The 20627-nt window shown below is 41.2% G+C and overlaps 2 long non-coding RNA genes across 2 annotated transcripts in view; one reads left to right on the top strand and one right to left on the bottom strand.

Annotated features, from left to right (window-relative positions):
* Nucleotides 1–15308, bottom strand: part of LOC102723321 (uncharacterized) — an 88963-nt gene extending 73655 nt beyond the window's left edge. The window contains exon 1 of the long non-coding RNA XR_922079.4: nucleotides 15228–15308. This is a non-coding gene — a long non-coding RNA (uncharacterized LOC102723321). The remainder of the gene's footprint in view (nucleotides 1–15227) is intronic.
* The window catches only part of LOC105371230 (uncharacterized), a 40010-nt gene extending 24040 nt beyond the window's left edge, over nucleotides 1–15970 (top strand). Inside the window, exon 3 of the long non-coding RNA XR_922077.4 lies at nucleotides 14795–15970. This is a non-coding gene — a long non-coding RNA (uncharacterized LOC105371230). The remainder of the gene's footprint in view (nucleotides 1–14794) is intronic.
* Nucleotides 15971–20627: the final 4657 nt, after the last annotated feature.

The following is a 20627-nucleotide window of genomic DNA, read 5'->3' as shown; positions in this document are numbered from 1 at the left end:
AATTCCTTGTGAGCCTCAAGATCTTTACCCTAAAAGGGTTCTGTTGAGTTTTACCCTGACAATGTAAATTGATAGCTTATCCTCACAGGTAGGACGAAGGACAGAACTCTAAGTCATCGCTCTGCTCACCTGAGACAAATGCATATCTGATTGCTTCCTCTGATGTAAAAATGCAGATTTACTGAGCTAGACTCTTTTTCTACCCCCACCCTCATCATGTGTAAATTTTGTATTCGGTGAAAGGCTGCTCAAAAATCAAAAGTACACAACTGTTTGTCTCTTATTTATCCACACCTTTAAGAATTTTCTTCCTCTTTCCCCAATAGCTGCCCTTTCCCCTTTAAATATGGAAGCCCTCAAGGTCATCTTCAGAGAAAGGCACAGAGCTGCCTCCCAGGCACACATCCTTAACCATGGCAAAGAAAACTTTCTAAATTTATTGAGACCTGTCTCAGATATTTTTGGTTTACAATCTTAAATAAGTAACTTGTATAATGTATTAGAAGGTGATAAGTACTACGGAGAAAATCAAGCAAAGATGTAGTAGCCAACCTCCAAGATGGCCCCCAGTTCCTCACCTCCTGGAAACACACCTTGTATTTCTTCCCACATTTAATGGAGCTGGCCTGTGAGAACAATAGGATCTGGCAGAAGTAATGGTGTATGACTTCCAAGGCTAGATTATAAAAGATATTGCAGCTTCTGCCTAGCTGTCTTAGATTGTTTGTTCTGGGGAAAGCCAGCTGCCATGTCATGAGGCACACTCAAGCATTCTTGGGAGAGGTCTGTGTGGGGAGAACTGAGGCCTTCTGCCAACAGCCATGTGAATAAGCCATCTTGGAAGCCAATCCTCTATCCTGGCTGACATGTGACTATAACCTGATAGGAGATCCTGAGCCAGAACCATTCAGCTAAAGCACTCCCTAATTCCTAACCCACAGAAACTGTGCAAGATAATAAATGTCTGTTGTTATTTAAGCTATTAAGTTTGAGGGTAATATGTTATACAGCAATAGTTAATGAATACAAAAGGGACCAGGAGTGACAACGAGGTGAGGTGGGGGGTGAAATTTTAAATTGGATGATCAGAGTGGTCCTCACTTAAAAGGTGACATGAGCAGAGATTTAATAGCGGTCTGGGAGCTAGGCATGCCCATATCCGGGGGAAAGCATCCCAGGCAAAGGAAAAAGCCAGTGCAAAGCCCTGAGGAGACAGCCTGCCCAGATTTGAGGAACAGTAAGGACAGTGTGCTGGAGTGAAGAAAGGAGGGAGAAAAGTCAGAGATGAGTCTGAAAAGGTCAAGAGGGGAAGGACAGTGGCCGATCATGAGAAATGGCTATTGGATTGAGCTCCATAGAAGTCACTGTTGACCTTGACAAAAGTAGTTTCAGTGAAATGAAGGAGATGAACGCCTGCTTGGAGTGGGTTTACAACATAATGGAAAAAAGGAATTGAAGGCAGCCACTCTTTCAAGGAGTTTTGCTGTAAAGAAAAGAGAAATCAGATGCAGCTACAGAAGAAAGTGGGGTCAAGAAAAGATTTATTTTTCAGATGGGAGAAATAATAGCATGTGGGCAAGCTAATGAGAACGATGCAGTGATGATAGATGATAAAGAGACAAAGATAAGGAAAATTGCTAAGCAATATCCTTGAGTAGGTGAAAGGGGATGGGATTGAAGACAGAGGCAGAAGAGTCAGACTTAAAGAGGAGACAGAGGGTTCATCTGTGTTAGAAGCAGAAAGGCAAGAGTATATGGGACAGATATTGTAGGAGAGTAGATGTAGCGGTAGGAGGCTATGGCAGTTCTTGTCTGATTATTTATCTTTGCTTATTGGAGGAAGTCAAAGATTTTCCTGGCAATATACTGATAGAAACTGTGCATAAAATGAACCTCTAGCCAGTACATAAGAAAGACAGAAAATAAAAGTCCCAGGAGAGGAAAAACGTACCTCAGCATAGCCTGTTGTTTAGAAAAAATGGCATGGCACACAGGAGGGAATCTATAGAACTAGAATAAGAGAATTATGAATTTGACCAGAACACTGGTAATTCTCTTGCCAGACCTAAGGATTTTTATCAGTTCTTTAGCATGTCTACTTTATATCCTTTATAATTTGTGTATGCATTTATGTGTGACTTAGCCATATGGTAAAGATATAAAATTCTAACTCCAGAATATGGGCTCAATTATTCTTAATTAATTCAGCCATCTTCATAAGGTTCCAAGGTAAAAAGATACTTTTCTTATAGAGAGGGATCTGGATTGGATGGACCTTACACAACTTTTGAAGTGGTTCAAAGGTGCCCAAAGTGGTCAGAACCAGCAAAGACAGAGAATCCCTTGAGGTTTTTCCAGGAGGGCATACTATATTGTATATCATCACTCAATGTTATATTCAAAATCATTCCTCCACTTATACCCAGTGTCCCTAAATTGAATTGGTACATGTGTCTATCCCTTTCCTCCAGGTAAAATGTTTCAGTGTGGAACTTTAAAAGGCATCTCTCAGAACGACGGTTCAGAATGATGGTTAGCAAAAGACCACAAGGACAGAAAACCAAACACTGCATGTTCTCACTCGTAGGTGGGAATTGAATAATGAGAACACTTGGATGCAGGGTGGGGAACATCACACACCAGGTCCTGTTGTGGGGTGGGGGGAGGGGGGAGGGATAGCATTAGGAGAAATACCTAATGTAAATGATGAGTTAATGGGTGCAGCACAATAACATGGCACATGTATACATATGTAACAAACCTGCACGTTGTGCACATGTACCCTAGAACTTAAAGTATAATTTTAAAAAATGGCATCTCTCTTACTATCTACAATTATTACAGCAGGCAGTCATTAGCTCCAATTGGTCTCGTCTCCCTTGAGGCTTATAAGGCCCCTATTCAAACAGAACCAGTGGTGGGGTACCCTGCATACTCCGACATGCTTTGATATGCTTGAGCTCCCTAAACAGGAAGGCTGACTTAGCTCCTCCATCCTAGGCTCTCCCTACCTCCCCTTTGTTCCATAAACTGAGGGGAGACTATTTCTCTCTTTTTTTTTTTATTATGACCCATCTAGGAAAAGTTAAATAGCCTGCTGATTTTCCCTAAACATCATGAGTTATTTTCAAGTCTCTTTAGGTGGCACTGGGGGAGGTTGGTGGAGAAAGTGGCAGAGGGAGTGTTTGACTAATGTTTGAGAAATGTACTACAACAAAGAGATTTTCTTAAAAAATTAGATTCCTTCTGTATGTGATTTTCATTCAAACACAAAGCTTCTCTTTATTTAAGAAAAAATCCTTATTGTACTAACACTGTGCATTACCAAAGCCCTCAAATTAAATTATAAGAGAACTGAGAAAATCAGGCTATTAAAATATTTGAGTTATTTACTGAAGTTGAGTGAGGAGAAAAAAAAGACTGTTCCAGCTTCCCCCTACCTCCTACCCACTACCTTGCTTCTCTCTTCCCCTCCCTCTCTCTCTTTCTGTCACCTTCACTCTCTCTGTCTCTCTCTCAGTCCTACTCTGACAGGGGAAATAGCTTTTGGAGAATGGCACGAGGGGCCCTTGGGAACAGGGTCCTGCCACGACTTTAAGTGACTGCCATGAGGACCCTGTTCTACTCCTCCTTTTCATGACATTCCAATTGGAATCACTCAGCCCATAGGTACTGCATTCCTACTATGTCCAAAGCACTATGATCTATAATTTGAGAGGAGAGGCTTAAAGAGTTGAAGACAATAGTCTCTTTATAAAGAGAAATCATATGTGAAATAAGTACTGCACCAGATTTAACAAGTCTTTAAGTATAAACACCATATTGTGTTAAAGGAGAAGGGAAGAAAGAGGGATGGAGAAGAACTAAGATTTATAAATTGCCTCCCATTTGCCAGGCACACTGTGCTAGAGGATTCACATATGATTTCTCATGTACTCTCCAAAACATGATACAGATACAGAACCCACCCATTTCTGTAGAGACAGGGTCTTGCTCTGTTACCCAGGCTTGAGTGCAGTGGTGCAATCTTGGCTCACTGCAGCCTTGAACTGCTGGGCTCAAGCAATCCTCCTGCCTCAGACTCCCAATTAGCTAGGACTTTAGGTGTGTGCCACACCTGGCCAGTTTTTTAAAATTTATTTTTTGTAGAGATGAGGTCTCACTATGGTTACCCAGGCTCAGTGGTCCCACACCCACACAGCCTTGCTCACTGCTAGTGCAGCAGTCTGAGATCCACCTGCGAGGCAGCAGCCCAGCAGGGAGAGGGGCATCCGCCATTGCTGAGGCTTGAGTAGGTAAACAAAGTGGCCAGGAAGCTTGAACTGGGCAGAGCCCACCACAGTTCAGCAAGGCCTGTGTCTCTGTAGACTCCACCTCTGAGGGCAGGGCATAGCTGTACAAAAGGCAGCAGAAACTTCTGCAGACTTAAACGTCTCTGTCTGAGAGCTCTGAAGAGAGCAGTGGTTCTCCAGCACAGCGGTTGAGCTCGGAGAATGGACAGACTGCCTCATCAAGTGGGCCCCTGACCCCCGTGTAGCCTGACCCCCTCCCAGTAGGGGCCAACTGACACCTCATACAGGTGGGTGCCCTTCTGTGATGAAGCTTCCAGAGGAAGGATCAGGCAGCAATATTTGCTGTTCTGCAATATTTGCTGTTCCGCAGCCTCTGCTGGTGATACCCAGGCAGACAGGGTCTGGAGTGGACCTCCAGCAAACTCCAATAGACCTGCAGCTGAGGGACGTGACTGTTAGAAGGAAAACTAACAAACAGAAAGGAAAAGCACCAACATCAACAAAAAGGACATCCACACCAAAACCCCATCTGTAGGTCACCAACATCAAAGACCAAAGGTAGATAAAACCACAAAGATGGGGAGAAACCAGAGCAGAAAAGCTGAAAATTCTAAAAACCATAGCACCTCTTCTCCTCCAGAGGGTTGCAGCTCCTCGCCAGCAATGGAACAAAGCTGGATGGAGAATGACTTTGATGAGCTGACAGAAGTAGGCTTCAGAAGGTTGGTAATAACAAACTTCTCTGAGCTAAAGGAGGATGTTCAAACCCATCGCAGGGAAGCTAAATCCTTGAAAAAAGATTAGACGAATGGCTAACTAGAATAAACAGTGTAGAGAAGATTTTAAATGACCTCATGGAGCTGAAAACCATAGCATGAGAACTACATGACGCATGCACAAGCTTCAATAGCTGATTCAATCAAGTGGAAGAAAGGGTATCTATGATTGAAGATCAAATTAATGAAATAAAGTGAGAAGAGAAGTTTAGAGAAAAAAGAGTAAAAAGAAATGAACAAAGCCTCCAAGAAATATGGGACTATGTGAAAAGACCAAATCTACATTTGATGGGTGTACCTGAAAGTGATGGAGAGAACGGAACCAAGTTGGAAAACACTCTTCAGGATATAATCCAGTAGAACTTCCCGAACCTAGCAAGGCAGGCCAACATTCAAATTCAGGAAATACAGAGACCACCACAAAGATACTCCTTGAGAAGAGCAACCCCAAGACACATAATTATCAGATTCTCCAAGGTTGAAATGAAGGAAAAAATGTTAAGGGCAGCCAGAGAGAAAGGTCAGGTTACCCACTGTAGGGAAAAGAAAGAGAGATCAGACTGTTACTGTGTCTATGTAGAAAGGAAAGACATAAGAGACTCCATTTTGAAAAAGACCTGTACTTTGAACAACTGCTTTGCTAAGATATTGTTAATTTGTAGCTTTGCCCCAGCCACTTTGACCCAACCACTTTGTTCCAATCTGGAACTCACAAAAACATGTGTTGTATGAAATCAAGGTTTAAGGGATCTAGGGCTATGCAGGACATGCCTTGTTAGCAAAATGTTTACAAGCAGTATGCTTGGTAAAAGTCATCGCCATTCTCTAGTCTCAATAAACCAGGGCACAATGCACTGCGGAAAGCCACAGGGACTTCTGCCCTTGAAAGCGGGGTATTGTCCAAGGTTTCTCCCCATGTGATAGTCTGAAATATGGCCTTGTGGGATGAGAAAGACCTGACCGTCCCCCAGCCCGACACCCATAAAAGGTCTGTGCTGAGGTGGATTAGTAAAAGAGGAAAGCCTCTTGCAGTTGAGATAGAGGAAGGCCACTGTCTCCTGCCTGCCTGGGAACTGAATGTCTCGGTATAAAACCCGATTGTACATTTGTTCAATTCTGAGATAGCAGAAAAACCGCCCTATGGTGGGAGGTGAGACATGTTTGCAGCAATGTTGCCTTGTTATTCTTTACTCCGCTGAGATGTTTGGGTGGAGAGAAACATAAATCTGGCTTACGTGCACGTCCAGTCATAGTACCTTCTCTTGAACTTAATTATGACATAGATTCTTTTGCTCACATGTTTTTTGCTGACCTTCTCCTTATATCACCCTGCTCTCCTACTACATTCCTTTTTGCTGAAATAATGAAAATAATTATCAATAAAAACTGAGGGAACTCAGAGACCAGTGCCGGTGCAGGTCCTTAGTATGCTGAGCGCCGGTCCCCTGGACCCACTCTTGTTTCTCTACACTTTGTCTCTGTGTCTTATTTCTTTTCTCAGTCTCTTGTCCCACCCGACTAGAAATACCCACAGGTGTGGAGGGGCAGGCCACCCCTTCCTACAAAGGGAAGCCCATCAGATTAACAGCAGATCTCTCAGCAGAAACTCTATAACAGCAGATCTCTCAGCAGAAACTCTATAAGCCAGAAGAGAGCAGGGGCCAATATTCAACATTCTTAAAGAAAAGAATTTTTAACCCAGAATTTCATATCCAGCCAAACTAAGCTTCATACGTGAAGAAGAAATAAAATCTTTTACAGACAAGCAAATGCTGAGAGAATTTGTCAACACGAGTCCTGCCTTACAAGAGCTCCTGAAGGAAGCACTAAACATGGAAAGGAACAACTGGTACCAGCCACTGCAAAAACAAGCCAAATTGTAAAGACCATCGAAGCTAGGAAGAAACTGCATCAACTAATGAGCAAAATAAGCAACTAACATCATAATGACAGGATCAATTTCACACATAACAATATTAACCTTAAATGTAAATGGGCTAAATGCCCCAATTAAAAGACACAGACTGGAAAATTGGATAAAGACCCATCAGTTGGCTGTATTCAGGAGACCCATCTCACGTGCAGAGACACACATAGGCTCAAAATAAAGGGATGGAGGAAGATCTACCAAGCAAATGGAAAACAAAAAATGGCAGGGGTTGCAATCTTAGTCTCCGATAAAACAGACTTTAAACCAACAAAGATCAAAAGAGACAAAGAAAGCCATTATATAATGGTAAAGGGATCAATTCAACAAGAAGAGCTAACTATCCTAAATATATATGCACCCAATACAGGAGCACCCACATTCATAAAGCAAGTCCTTAGAGACCTACAAAGAGACTTAGACTCCCACACAATCATAATGGGAGACTTTAACACCCCACTGTCAATATTAGACAGATCAACAAGACAGAAGGTTAACAAGGATATCCAGGAAAGCAGACCTAATAGACATCTACAGAACTCTCCATCCCAAATCAACAGAATAAACATTCTTCTCAGCACCACATCACACTTATTCCAAAATTTACCACATAGTTGGAAGTAAAGAACTCCTCAGCAAATGTAAAAGAACAGAAATCACAACAAACTGTCTCTCAGTCCACAGTGCAATCAAATTAGAACTCAGGATTAAGAAACTCACTCAAAACCACACAACTACATGGAAACTGAACAACCTGCTCCTGAATGACTACTGGGTAAATAGTGAAATGAAGGCAGAAATAAAGATGTTCTTTGAAACTAATGAGAACAAAGACACATTGTACCAGAATCTCTGGGACACATTTAAAGCAGTGTGTAGAGGAAAATTTATAGCACTAAACGCCCACAAGAGAAAGCAGGAAAGATCTAAAATCAACATCCTAGAATCACAATGAAAAGAACTAGAGAAGTAAGAGCAAACAAATTCAAAAGCTAGGAGAAAGCAAGAAATAACTAAGATCAGAGTAGAACTGAAGGAGACAGAGACACAAAAAAACACTTCAAAAAATCAATGAATCCAGGAGCTGGTTTTTTGAAAAGATCAACAAAATTGATAGACTTCTAGCAAGACTAATAAAGAAGAAAAGAGAAAAGAATCAAATAGATGCAATAAAAAACGATAAAGGGGATATCACCACCAATGCCACAGGAATACAAACTACCATCAGAGAAACTATACACACCTCTACGCAAGTAAACTAGAAAATGTAGAAGAAATGGATAAATTCCTGGACACATACACCCTCCCAAGACTAAATCAGGAAGAAGTTGAATCTCTGAATAGACTAATAACAGGCTCTGAAATTGAGGCAATAATTAATAGCCTACCAACCAAAAAAAGTCCAGGACCTGACAGATTCACAGCTGAATTCTACCAGAGGTACAAAGAGGAGCTGGTACCATTCCTTCTGAAACTATTCCGGAAAATCAACAGAAAAAGAGGGAATCTTCCCTAACTCATTTTATGAGGCCAGCATCATCCTGATACGAAAGCCTGGCAGAGACACAACAAAATAAGAGAATTTTAGAACAATATCCCTGATGAATATTGATGCGAAAATCCTCAATAAAATACTGGCAAACCGAATCCAGCAGCACATCGAAAAGCTTATCCACCACGATCAAGTTGGCTTCCTCCCTGGGGTGCAAGGCTGGTTCAACATATGCAAATCAATAAACATAATCCATCACAGAAACAGAACAAACAACAAAAACCACATGATTATCTTAATAGATGCAGAAAAGGCCTTCGACAAAATTCAACAGCCCTTCATGCTAAAAACTCTCAATAAACTAGGTATTGATGGAATGTATCTCAAAATAATAAGAGCTATTTATGATGAAGCCACAGCCAATATAATACTGATTGGGCAAAAACTGGAAGCATTTCCTTTGAAAACTGGCACAAGACAAGGATGCCCTCTTTCGCCACTCCTATTCAACATAGTGTTGGAAGTTCTGGCCAGGGCAATCAGACAAGAGAAAGAAATAAAGAGTATCCAATTAGGAAAAGAAGAAGTCAAATTGTCCCAAATTGTTTGCAGATGACATGATTGTATATTTACAAAACCCCATCGTCTCAGCCCAAAATCTCCTTAAGCTGATAAGCAACTTCAGCAAAATCTTAGGATACAAAATCAATGTGCAAAAATCACAAGCATTCCTATACACCAATAACAGACAAACAGAGAGTCAAATCATGAGTGAACTCCCATTCACAGTTGCTACAAAGAGAATAAAATACCTAGGAATCCAACTTACAGGGGATGTGAAGGAACCATTCAAGGGGAACTACAAACCACTGCTCAACAAAATAAAAGAGGACACAAACAAATGGAAGAACATTCCAGGCTCATGGATAGGAAGAATCAATATCATGAAAATGGTCATACTGCCCAAGGTAATTTATAGATTCAATGCCGTCCCCATAAAGCTACCAATGACTTTCTTCACAGAATTGGGAAAAACTACTTTAAAGTTCATATGGAACCAAAAAAGAGCCCACATTGCCAAGACAATCCTAAGCAAAAAGAACAAAGCTGGAGGCATCATGCTACCTGACTTCAAACTATACTTCAAGGCTACAGTAACCAAAACAGCATGGTACTCGTACCAAAACAGAGATATAGATCAATGGAACAGAACAGAGGCCTCAGAAATAACACCACACCACACATCTACAACTGTCTGATCTTTGACAAACATGACAAAAACAAGAAATAGGGAAAGGATTCCCTATTTAATAAATGGTGCTGGGAAAATGGGCTAGCCATATGTAGAAAGCTGAAACTGGATCCCTTCCTTAAACCTTATACAAAAATTAATTCAAGATGGATTAAAGACTTAAATGTTAGACCTAAAACCATAAAAACCCTAGAAGAAAACCTAGGCAATACCATTCAGGACATAGGCATGGGCAAGGACTTCATGTCTAAAACAACAAAAGCAATGGCAACAAAAGTCAAAATAGACAAATGGAATCTAATTGAACTAAAGAGCTTCTGCACAGCAAAAGAAACTACCATCAGAGTGAACAGGCAACCTAGAGCATGGGAGAAAATCTTTGCAATCTATCCATCTGACAAAGGGCTAATATCCAGAATCTACAAGGAACTTAAACAAATTTACAAGAAAAAAACAAACAACCCCATCAAAAAGTGGGCAAAGGATATGAACAGACACTTCTCAAAAGAAGACATTTATGCTGCCAACAGACAGATGAAAAAATGCTCATCATCACGGTCATCAGAGAAATGCAAATCAAAACCACAATGAAATACCATTTCACACCAGTTAGAATGGCGATCATTAAAAAGTCAAGAAACAGCAGATGCTGGAGAGGACTTGGAGAAATAGGGATGCTTTTACACTGTTGGTGGGAGTGTAAACTAGTTCAACCACTGTGGAAGACAGTGTGGTGATTCCTCAAGGATCTAGAACTAGAAATCCCACTTGACCCAGCGATCTCATTATTGGGTATACACCCAAAGGATTATAAATCATGCTGCTATAAAGACACATGCACACGTATGTTTATTGCAGCACTACTCACAATATCAAAGACTTGGAACCAACCCAAATGTCCATCAATGATAGACTGGATTAAGAAAATGTGGCACATATACACCATGGAATACTATGCAGCCATAAAAAAGGATGCATCCATGTCCTTTGCAGGGACATGGATGTGGCTGGAAATCATCATTCTGAGGAAACTGTCACAAGGACAGAAAACCAAACACCTCATGTTCTCACTCATAGGTGGGAATTGAATAATGAGAAGACTTGGACACAGGGCGGAGAGCATCACACCCAGGGGCCTGTTGTGGGGTTGGGGGCAGGGGGAGGGATAGCGTTAGGAGAAATACCTAACGTAAATGACGAGTTAATGGGTGCAGCAAACCAACATGGCACATGTATACCTATGTAAAAACTTGCATGTTGTGCACATGTACCCTAGAATTTAAAGTATAATAAAAAAAAAGGAAAAAATTCTTTTTTTTTTTTTGTAGACAGGGTCTTGCTCTGTTGCCCAGGCTGGAGTACAGTGGCTTGATCTCCACTAACTGCAACCTCCACCTCCCGGGTTCAAGCAATTCTCCCACCTCAGCTTTCCCAGTAGCTGGGATTACAGGTGCATACCACCACACCCGGCTAATTTTTGTATTTTTTGGTAGAGACAGGGCTTCACCACGTTGGCCAGGCTGGTCTCAAACTCCTGACCTCAAGTGATCTGCCCACCTTGGCCTCCCAAAGTACTGGGATTACAGGTGTGAGCCACTGCACCTAGCAGAGAATTGCTTTTCTTGAGCTTTGGTGCAGTTACCCCTAATGAGTTCCATCCCAGTGCCTACAGTAAAGAGTTGTTACTGAAGACCCTTTTCATGATATTACACAAGATCTTCCTTATGGCGTGTCTTAAGATAATTTTCTTTCTGGTTTTAATATTAGGAATAAGTTGTTTTGCTGGTTTTCACCTCGTGACCCCTGTGGCTTGGGCACTTAATAAGCTCCCACCTTTTCAAGTGATCTCCGGGAAGCTTGGCATCAATTGGTGGCCCACCAGTAATCAAGAGTTGGAATCATTAGGGATACATTTTTGTATCCCCCTTGTTCCTCGTCCTTGTTTTTCCTTTCTTTTATTCATCTACCTTTAATTTAATCTTGATTAACTATATCTGTATACGCACTTTAAATTTTTTTAAAGCTATCCCTTACAGGAAGGAAAATCTTTTCTAGAATAAGGAAGAGGAGGAAAGAAGAAAAAAAGGAGAAGGTAAAGAAGGTCAGAGACTACTAAAAGTCCAAGGAAACCACGAAGGCCTAAGTCAGATAGAATGGCCAGTTCTTCATAAGCATGGGGTAATGTATAATGCATAGCAAAACAAACATCAAGAATAGAAACCTGTCAGATCAGAGCATCAGAGCTAGTCGGTTGCAGGAGTCATGAAGCATGATATGCTGTTAGGAGGAGCTCCAGAGAGCAGAGCCCCATATGAACCATAAGCAAGGACTGTTTGATCCTCACCCAGATTTCCAAGCTCAGCAAGAGAAAAGGAAGGAAAATAGAGGGGAAAAAAGGTCTTTTCTGTGTTGCTACTCATTATTAGGAATGATTTGGAAAGCCAGTTCATAATATTGTCCTAGAATTGAGCTTCTGCTTCTAATAGTGTCAGTGATCTTGTTATACCTATGGTGTTAAAATATGTATATTTATGTAGCACAGAAGTACTCAAATTCTCTGGCCTTTTAATACACAAATAACAATAGCTAAATTCCTATCAAGCATCCTCTAGGGCTGCAGAAAGTGCCTTTTATCAGGTTCGCCTCCTCAAGTACCTCCAGTGGTCACTGAGAAAACCTCCCCGGTTCCATAAACCCTCTCTGCTTGTCACGTGCCATCTCAGTCCGAGCCCTTGCCCCCCAGAATATTGAGGTGCCATGCTCCTGCTTTCACCTCTTGTTGTCTTGTAACTCCAGGAATACCAACTCCCTCTACATGTAGTGCCTTAAATATGCATATAGCCATGTTCCTTAGCTCCCCAAATGTGGCTAATCTGAATCTAATCTGGGTGTGTAATAAATGCCCTTGGAACAAAGACATACAACAGAGAGTAGCTGACAAATGCCATTATATCTCCATGCTCAGAATCTAGGCTCAATTTCCACCAGACCCAAAGATCTCCCTCATTTTCAGTCCAAAGCCCACCTCATTTCTCTGTCTCTGTAGAGCATCTATTGTCTTCCATTCTCTTACAGGGCACAGTGAGGCCCTATTCTGTAACAAAAATGGCCTATTCTGTACTAAATAAAACCATGTGGCACAACAAACAGTCCACATCCTCTCCAGTCTTTTATCTTGTGTGCAGTAAAGAGACAATAAGTCCTGTGCATCATACCTGCCATAACCTTGCCTCCTGCGTTCAGTGTGCAAATGCTTGAGCAAAACCCCTATGCATTTCATACACATAGAATGCTCAGAATACCACAGCTCAAATCCATGTGTAGAAAAAAATGTCCTAAATCTGAGGTCACACTCCAGATAATAGATCCAAATAGAATACTTAGCAGGTTTCCCCAAGGACAAGTGGATTCTTACCTTACATCTGCCTGACCAAAGAGATCACTTACAAGACTCTCTCAGAACAGAAGGGTCTCAAAACAAGAGAAGGATCTTAACACACTCCAGTATCCTCATCTGAGTGCAGATGCTGTTTACAGGCCTCTAGCTGGCAGTTTTCCCACTCCATTCAGGCAAAGATCAAGCCACTACTTGAAAACCTATGAATTACCACTCTATGACACCTTCATTGTGTCTATTCCTGATTCTGGTTCTAATCATGCACAAAACTTAAATATATAAAATGTCCAAATCAGCTGGTAAGCTAAATAATTATTGTCATTGCATTTTAGTGATATCACAGTGCCTGTGGTATCTTGTAATTTATGTTTTTTTCAATAGCAACTTGATCATTTTAGTTTGAGGTTGTGTCTCCATAAATAGTTGGGTTGAATATAAGAATAAGTAATTTTTTTTAACTTTCATAATAGGCAGCAACTGAATAATGAATCAATCCCTAAAAGAGAGTCACTCCAGTTATCCTGAAGACTAACTACGTGAGTTTAGTTGACATACGTCAGCCTTCTAAAGCTTGGACACTCCTGGGGTACTGATAAAATGGATCCTATGAAGCTGAAGACCAGTCTTCATATTTATGATGAGCTCCCAAAGCGTGGTCATGGCATGAGGACCTTCCTGGGCCATCATCATCCAGCTTCTCTTTGGCATCTCTTTAGCTATAGTGGCACACAGGTGCCACTTAAGGGGTACTTTTTGCTAAATAACAAGGACCTTGTTATCAAATGTAGCTTAAATGAATATTACTCTCACCTGTAGAAACCCTAAGACTTATTTTCAGCTCTTGGTCACTTGCTGCTGCTATTTTTGGCTATCATTTTTTGAGTTGTTACTAACTGCCAATCTCTGTGATAAGCTACTTTCGTATATTATCTCTAATCTTTAAGAAAATCCTGCGAGGTGGCCATTATTTTCATATTTTAAAGGTAATAACAGGCAAGTTCAGAAAGATGAAATGCCTTGTCTATAGCCACATAGAGGTGACAAAACTGGGATCCAAACGCAAATCTGTCTAGCTCAAACACTTTCTTTTTCTTACTTACGTTCTGAGCATTTCTTGCTGGCTTAACAGAGTATAAATATTAGTAGCCATGTGTATAAATTGGAATCCAATAAAGAGAGATACCACATAGTAATATGAGCAGGGAAAGTGTAATATAAGGAATTATTCACCATAACAGAGAATTGGAGTAAAGAAGAATTATCTAGTAAAAAGTGAAGGAGAGCTCTGATAACTCAATGATAAGAAGACAAATAATTCATTTTTTAAAAAATAGACAAAAGATTTGAACAGATATTTCACCAAAGAAGATATATGAATGACTAATAAGTGCATGAAAAGATGCTCAACATCATCAGTGCCCTGTCTGAAGGCAGCAGTTGCTACTTCACTCCAGTCAACTGCAATGTGGAAATACAGGTATAGAATTGCCAGATCACCTAGTTCTCCCCCCACCAAAAGCTAGAAATTCAGATTTTTATCTAAGATTTTCCTTTTTTCCGTGTTGGAAACAAATTCAAAATATTTCTTAAAACATCACATACTTGAAACAAAGCATATCTACAGGACTGATATGACTTGTTTGTGACTTCCTCCATAGGTTTTCTATCTGGGGAGGGACATGGCAGAAGCAGTATTTTGGGAAGATATTTCTGGCAGCAGTATGTACAGTCTAGACTGAAGAGGAGAAGGTGAAGCCAGGGAAGACTAACAACGAGTCCAGAGATGGAGAGGAACAAACCTGACTGGGGTGGTGGCACAAAGGAGAGCATGTCCTGTTCATCCTTCCCTCCACAAAGCAGCTGGACAAGACCCAACCAGTGATGGGATCTCTGTAGCATCATTTTCCAAAGGAAGCTGGCACATGACAAGTGCTGCCTCCATTTCAAAATCCATTCATGTACCGACATTCGCCTACCCTCTCGGCCTTGATCCCACTCTCCTGAGGTGCCTGAGGGATCTTGCCACTGTGCGCATGGCACTAAGGAACTCTGCCTGCCAGTCCCAGAACTGCTCTTGTCTCACTCTGTTACCTTATGCAAATGGCAGGCATGGGAAGCCTGCTGCTCCATCTGGGAAATCCTCTGGACCACCCAACCTTCCTCTCGGAGAAAGTAAAGGGAGCAATAAGGAAATATTTGCCAAGCCCTGTACAGCCACCTGTTTGCAGAGAGAGGGAGAGTTGCCATATTAATTATTAAGCAGACCTATCTGAGCCAAAGAGAGTCATGGAAACTTCATTATTATGGGTGGTATGTGGCTGTCTTTGGAATATTCTGCTTGCTTGGTTTCTAATTTCCTTTTCTTACATGAGTCTTTCTCCCTCATAAATCTTTGCATCTCAATGTTCTGTTCTCTCCTCCCTTGTGTTCTGAACTAGGAGTTCCCACAAACCCTCTGTGGTTAAATCTACTCCTCTAAACACCACAGGCTCCAGGCAGCATTGTTCATGAAAGCGGGTGACACCCTTTGGCCTCCGCCCTCTAGAAGGGCCTGCTGAGTGAAGGCCCAGTCAGGGAGGGGAGGGATGGAGGGGTGTTGAGGAGATTGAGGTGGGCAGGGAGTCCCCCCACCTCTCCCAGCTGCCCAAGGAAACACTCTCCAACTGTTTCTCTAGAACAAACCAACCAACAAGCGCCAGGAGCCTTCCGTGAATCTGACAGCCGGCTGATCACAGAATCCTCCCAGCAATGGCACTTAGCCCATAACTGGCAGCAAGTGCCCTCTAGAGGGAGTCAGAGGCATCCTCTCTGAGAGGCAAATTCTAATGTCCTGCCTGAATTGGGTACTTAGAGGGGCTTAGCAAATGATGCCAATTGGGGGGAAAAAAAGGAAAGAAAAGAGAAGCGGGGCAACTGGTGTCTTCATCACTAAAAGACAGAGAGAAGCCTTCCTTTGGTATCAAGAGGAGTCTAACAGACTGTGCCATTCAAATTAGGCTACATTTCTGTGGCAGAAGCAGTGCACATGGCAGAACTAGCGGTGGGGTATGAGTGTGGTGGGCTCCACGGGCTCACTCTGAGAATCTGTCTCTAGCACACAAGGTGCCAGGCCTTAATTTGGTCTCCCTGTTGCTCCTGCTTCTGAAATGTGTTGAAGCAGATACAGCTGTTTAAACTGGCATCCCTGTTTATCTGTGTGTTCCCAGTGTCTAGTATTTAAACACCTGAACTGAATTTAAATTGCCATCAGCTTGTTAACTGCAAAATAATAGAACGATTTCAAGAAGATGGTGGTAGGGGCTGTATTTCGACCACTCTGCTTTCTCATACAGACACCTCGCTCCCCAGGCCTTCTGCCAGATATCAAAAGTAGAGGGTATGTGCTGGGCCTGGTTTTTTTATGCCCTGAGGATCAACATAGTGTAGTGAGAAAATCCTGGCTTTTGGAGTCAGCCCCGACTGGATTTCAATATGAGCCCCTCACTTACTAGTTGTGGGAATGGTAGACGTTTTTAAACTTTCTGCACATCAGTTTGCCCATCTTTAAAATGAAAGTATTAGTACTTATCTCAGAATCTATATGCTTTATTTAACATAATATAAATGATTTAAATCACACATAGACATTTAATAACATGGAAAATGTATGACATATTAAGTAAAAAAAAAGGTGGTTATGGAACATTGTTATAGACTGAAATAACACCATTGTGTGGCTGCCCCAAGTTTTCTGTGGTGTTTGGGTCCACTGCTACCACATACACGTCGCACCATGTTGGAAATACATGGATTCAACTAGTACATGGGTCCCTATTCACTTCTGCTGGTTTTCATCGAGACCACTGCCTCCTGATTTCTATTGCTCTCCAGGGAGGAATCTCTGTATCTTTTACCGTCACCACCTGCTCACTTTTGTCCTCACAAAAGCATCCTTTGGGGGTTGGCATTCCATGCCTGAGAGTAAGGAATACTGGTAAGCTGATGAGAAGAGCTTTACACTTTACAGTTTCAGGTTTTCTACACATATGGACCAAAGGGAATTAATCTCACCTAAGAAGCAAAAGACTCAACACTGTCACAAATTAATATTTAACCAGTAATTATCTCTTCTATAAAATGATAGAAAAATGTATTGAAATGGGCTTCCTGATGCCCTGCTGTACTCTGTTGACAATAAAAACTGATTCAAGCCTTTGGAAAACTATCCATCAAGAGCACTGAAAATGGCATACCTGGGTGGGCACAGTTACTCATGCCTGTAATCTCAACACTTTGGGAGGCTGAGGCAGGAGAATTGCTTGAGCCCAGGAGTTTGAGACCAGTCTGGGCAACATAGCAAGACTCTGCCTCTAGAAAAAGAAAAAAAATTAGCCAGGCATGGTGGCATGTGTCTGTAGTCCCAACTACTTGGGAGACTCAGGCAGGAGGATTGCTTAAGCCAAGGAATATGAGGCTGCAGTGAGCTATGATCATGTTACTGCAACCCAGCCTGGGTGTCAGAGTGAGACCGTCTCAACAACAACAACAACAAAAATCAAATTCTGGGCCGGGTGCAGTGGCTCATGCCTGTAATCCCAGTACTTTGGGAGGCTGAGGTGGGCGGATCACGAGGTCAGGAGATCGAGACCATCCTGGCTAATATGGTGAAACCCCGTCTCTACTAAAAATACAAAAAATAAGCAGGGCATGGTGGCGGGCACCTGTAGTCCCAGCTACTCGGGAGGCTGAGGCAGGAGAATGGCACGAACCTGGGAGGTGGAGCTTGCAGTGAGCCGAGATCGCACCACTGCACTCCAGCCTGAGCAACAGAGCAAGACTCTGTCTCAAAAAAAAAAAAAAAAAAAATCATACTCTGCAAACCAGAATTCTACACCTGGGAATCTATCCTAAGAAAATAATTTAGAATACATAAAAACCTTTATTGCACAAAGATATTTATTGTAGCACTACTTAAACTAGTGAAAAACTAGAAAAAACTACTAGAAAAAGTATTAATTGTTCAAGGGATAAGTATATTATGATACACCCAAAGATTAAAACCATTACTTACAGTTACGGCAAGTGGTCTCCAAAGATGGCTGCCAACATTGTTAGCGATGTTTTTCTTTCTACTTGAATAATCACCTCATTCTAAAAGAAGAATAATTTTGAATTTGGAAAAAATAAACTTTATTATTTCAGAAAGAGTTTGGGTTAGGTAATCTCTAAAATCACTTGTCACAGGTTGGGTTCTTTGGAGGCAGATATTGAGTTGAAGTTTGGGTGTAAGATGTTTATTCAGGATCAACACCTGTGAAAGGAAGAAGGCAGAGGGAGGATTAAGCAGAGGAAGAAGTTAAACTGCAGTACAGACCTGAGGGAGCTTTAGAACAAACACTACCAACAAGGGTGTCCTACATTGGGTCAAAATGGCCTGGCTTTTATATTCTCACCTCACTTAGACACCAAATACACTCAAAAGGTCATGACCTGAGGTGAAGTGCTTTCTGTGATGAGACCAAATCTGAGGGAGCTACAGCTAGAGGACGTGTGCTCATTACACTCCCCACAGCTGGGGCTATAAGTCTTTCCTGGGAAGGAGATCTGAGTGGGGCCTTTCCATGTCTGTTACCTCCCTCCTAGGTCCGTGTTCTTGTGCTCCAATTTCATATGCTTATTTGTTGAACAAACACATTAGCAATAATAATATAATCTTACGTAGCACTTTTATAATGCTTTCATGTATGGCATGCTTCCCTAATTCACAGTACTGAACCAAGGAGTCTGAAGGCTATTTTTTTAAAGTACTGTACAGATTTTTAATGACATTTGCTTTCACCACACTTCAGTAAGACCATTTCATCAGTGTAGTTAAAATTGTGAAACACGTAACATTTGTGCTGCTTCTTCTCAACATATCACTCTCCCCCTCCTAGCAACTCTTCTCCCTTTCCCTGTCAGACAGTTATTGCTCTAATATTGGTAAAAGTCTCTTTGCTCATTGTAGCATCCTACCCCAAATGCTCCTTCAGGTAGCTCACTCTCTTTTCTACAACTAAACTTCAACTGGCTGAAATTAGAAAATGACCAATACATTTATGCATACATGTTCTATGACTAACGACCATGTGCTATTCTTTTAAACATGTCCTTTTTGCTTTTCAAAAGTAATTTCTGGATATAACACCAAAAGCACCGGCAACAGAAGAAAAAAATGGTGAATTGAACTTCAAAATTAAAAACTTGTGTCTCAAAGGACACTATTTTAACAGAGTGAAAAGGCAACTCACAGAATGGCAGAAATATTTGCAAGTCATATATAAAGTACTTGATAAGAGATTGATACCTGGACTATATAAAGAGCTCCTGCAACTCAACAACAAAACACTCACACAACCCAATTCAACACTGGGCAAGGGACTTGAATAGACATTTCTCCAAAAAAGATATACAAATGGCCAAAAATCACATGAAAAGAAGCTCAGCATCGCTAATCATTAGGAAAATAGCTAATCAAAGCCAACGAGATACCACATCATACCCATTAGGATGGCTGTTATTAAAAAAAAAAAAAAAAAAAAACAAGAAAATAACAAGTGTTGACAAGGACGTAGAATAACTGGAGGCCTTGTGCATTGCTGGTGGGAATGTGAAATGGTGTAGCCACTGTGGAAAACATTATGGTTGCTCCTTTAAAAAGTTAAACATAGAATTACCACATGATCCAGCAATCCCACTTCTGGGTATGTACCCAAAAGAATAGAAAACAAGAACTCAGTCATTTGTACACCCATGTTCATGGCAACATTACTTACAACAGCCAAAAGATAGGAAAAAAATCCCAAATGTCCATCAACAAAATGTGATATGTACACACAGCAGAATATTATTCTGCCTTAAAAGGGAAATAAATTCTGATACATGCTACAGCATGGATGAAACTTGAAGACATTCTGCTACATGAAATAATCTAAACACAAAAGGACAAATATTATATGATTGCACTTATATGAGATACCTAGAGTAGTCAAACTCATAAAGACAGAACACAGAAAGGCGGCTTCCAGGGTCTGAGGGAGGAAGGAGTCGGTGGTTCTTGTTTGATATGATGGAAATTTCTGGAGATGGATGGTGGTGCCAGTTGCACAGCATGGTGGAGGTATTTAATATCACTAAACTTTACTTTCCAAAATGGTTAAAATGGTAAATTTGATGTTATGTATATTTTACCACAATTTTTTTTAAGTGATTCCCACTGACTGGCAAGGCTGTAAGGCCATTGGTGTATAAGCTCTTTGAAAGCATGGGCTACATGGCATGTTACCCAGAATTTGAAATCAGACAGACATGAGTCCTAGTCCTCTCTCTACTAATACATGTTAGCAATGAGAATTTGAGTAACATATGCCAACTTCCCAAGCCATAATTTCCTTATCTCTAAAGTGGAGTTTATTATAACTATCAGAATGGTCTCTGTCTGTCCAGTATCCATTTTCCTTTCACATAATAGGA

Source organism: Homo sapiens, chromosome 1, assembly GCF_000001405.40.
Source record: "Homo sapiens chromosome 1, GRCh38.p14 Primary Assembly".
In the NCBI taxonomy this organism is placed as follows: domain Eukaryota; kingdom Metazoa; phylum Chordata; class Mammalia; order Primates; family Hominidae; genus Homo; species Homo sapiens.
The sequence above is the reverse complement of the archived record's forward strand: the minus strand, read 5'-3'. Positions and strand labels throughout refer to the sequence as shown.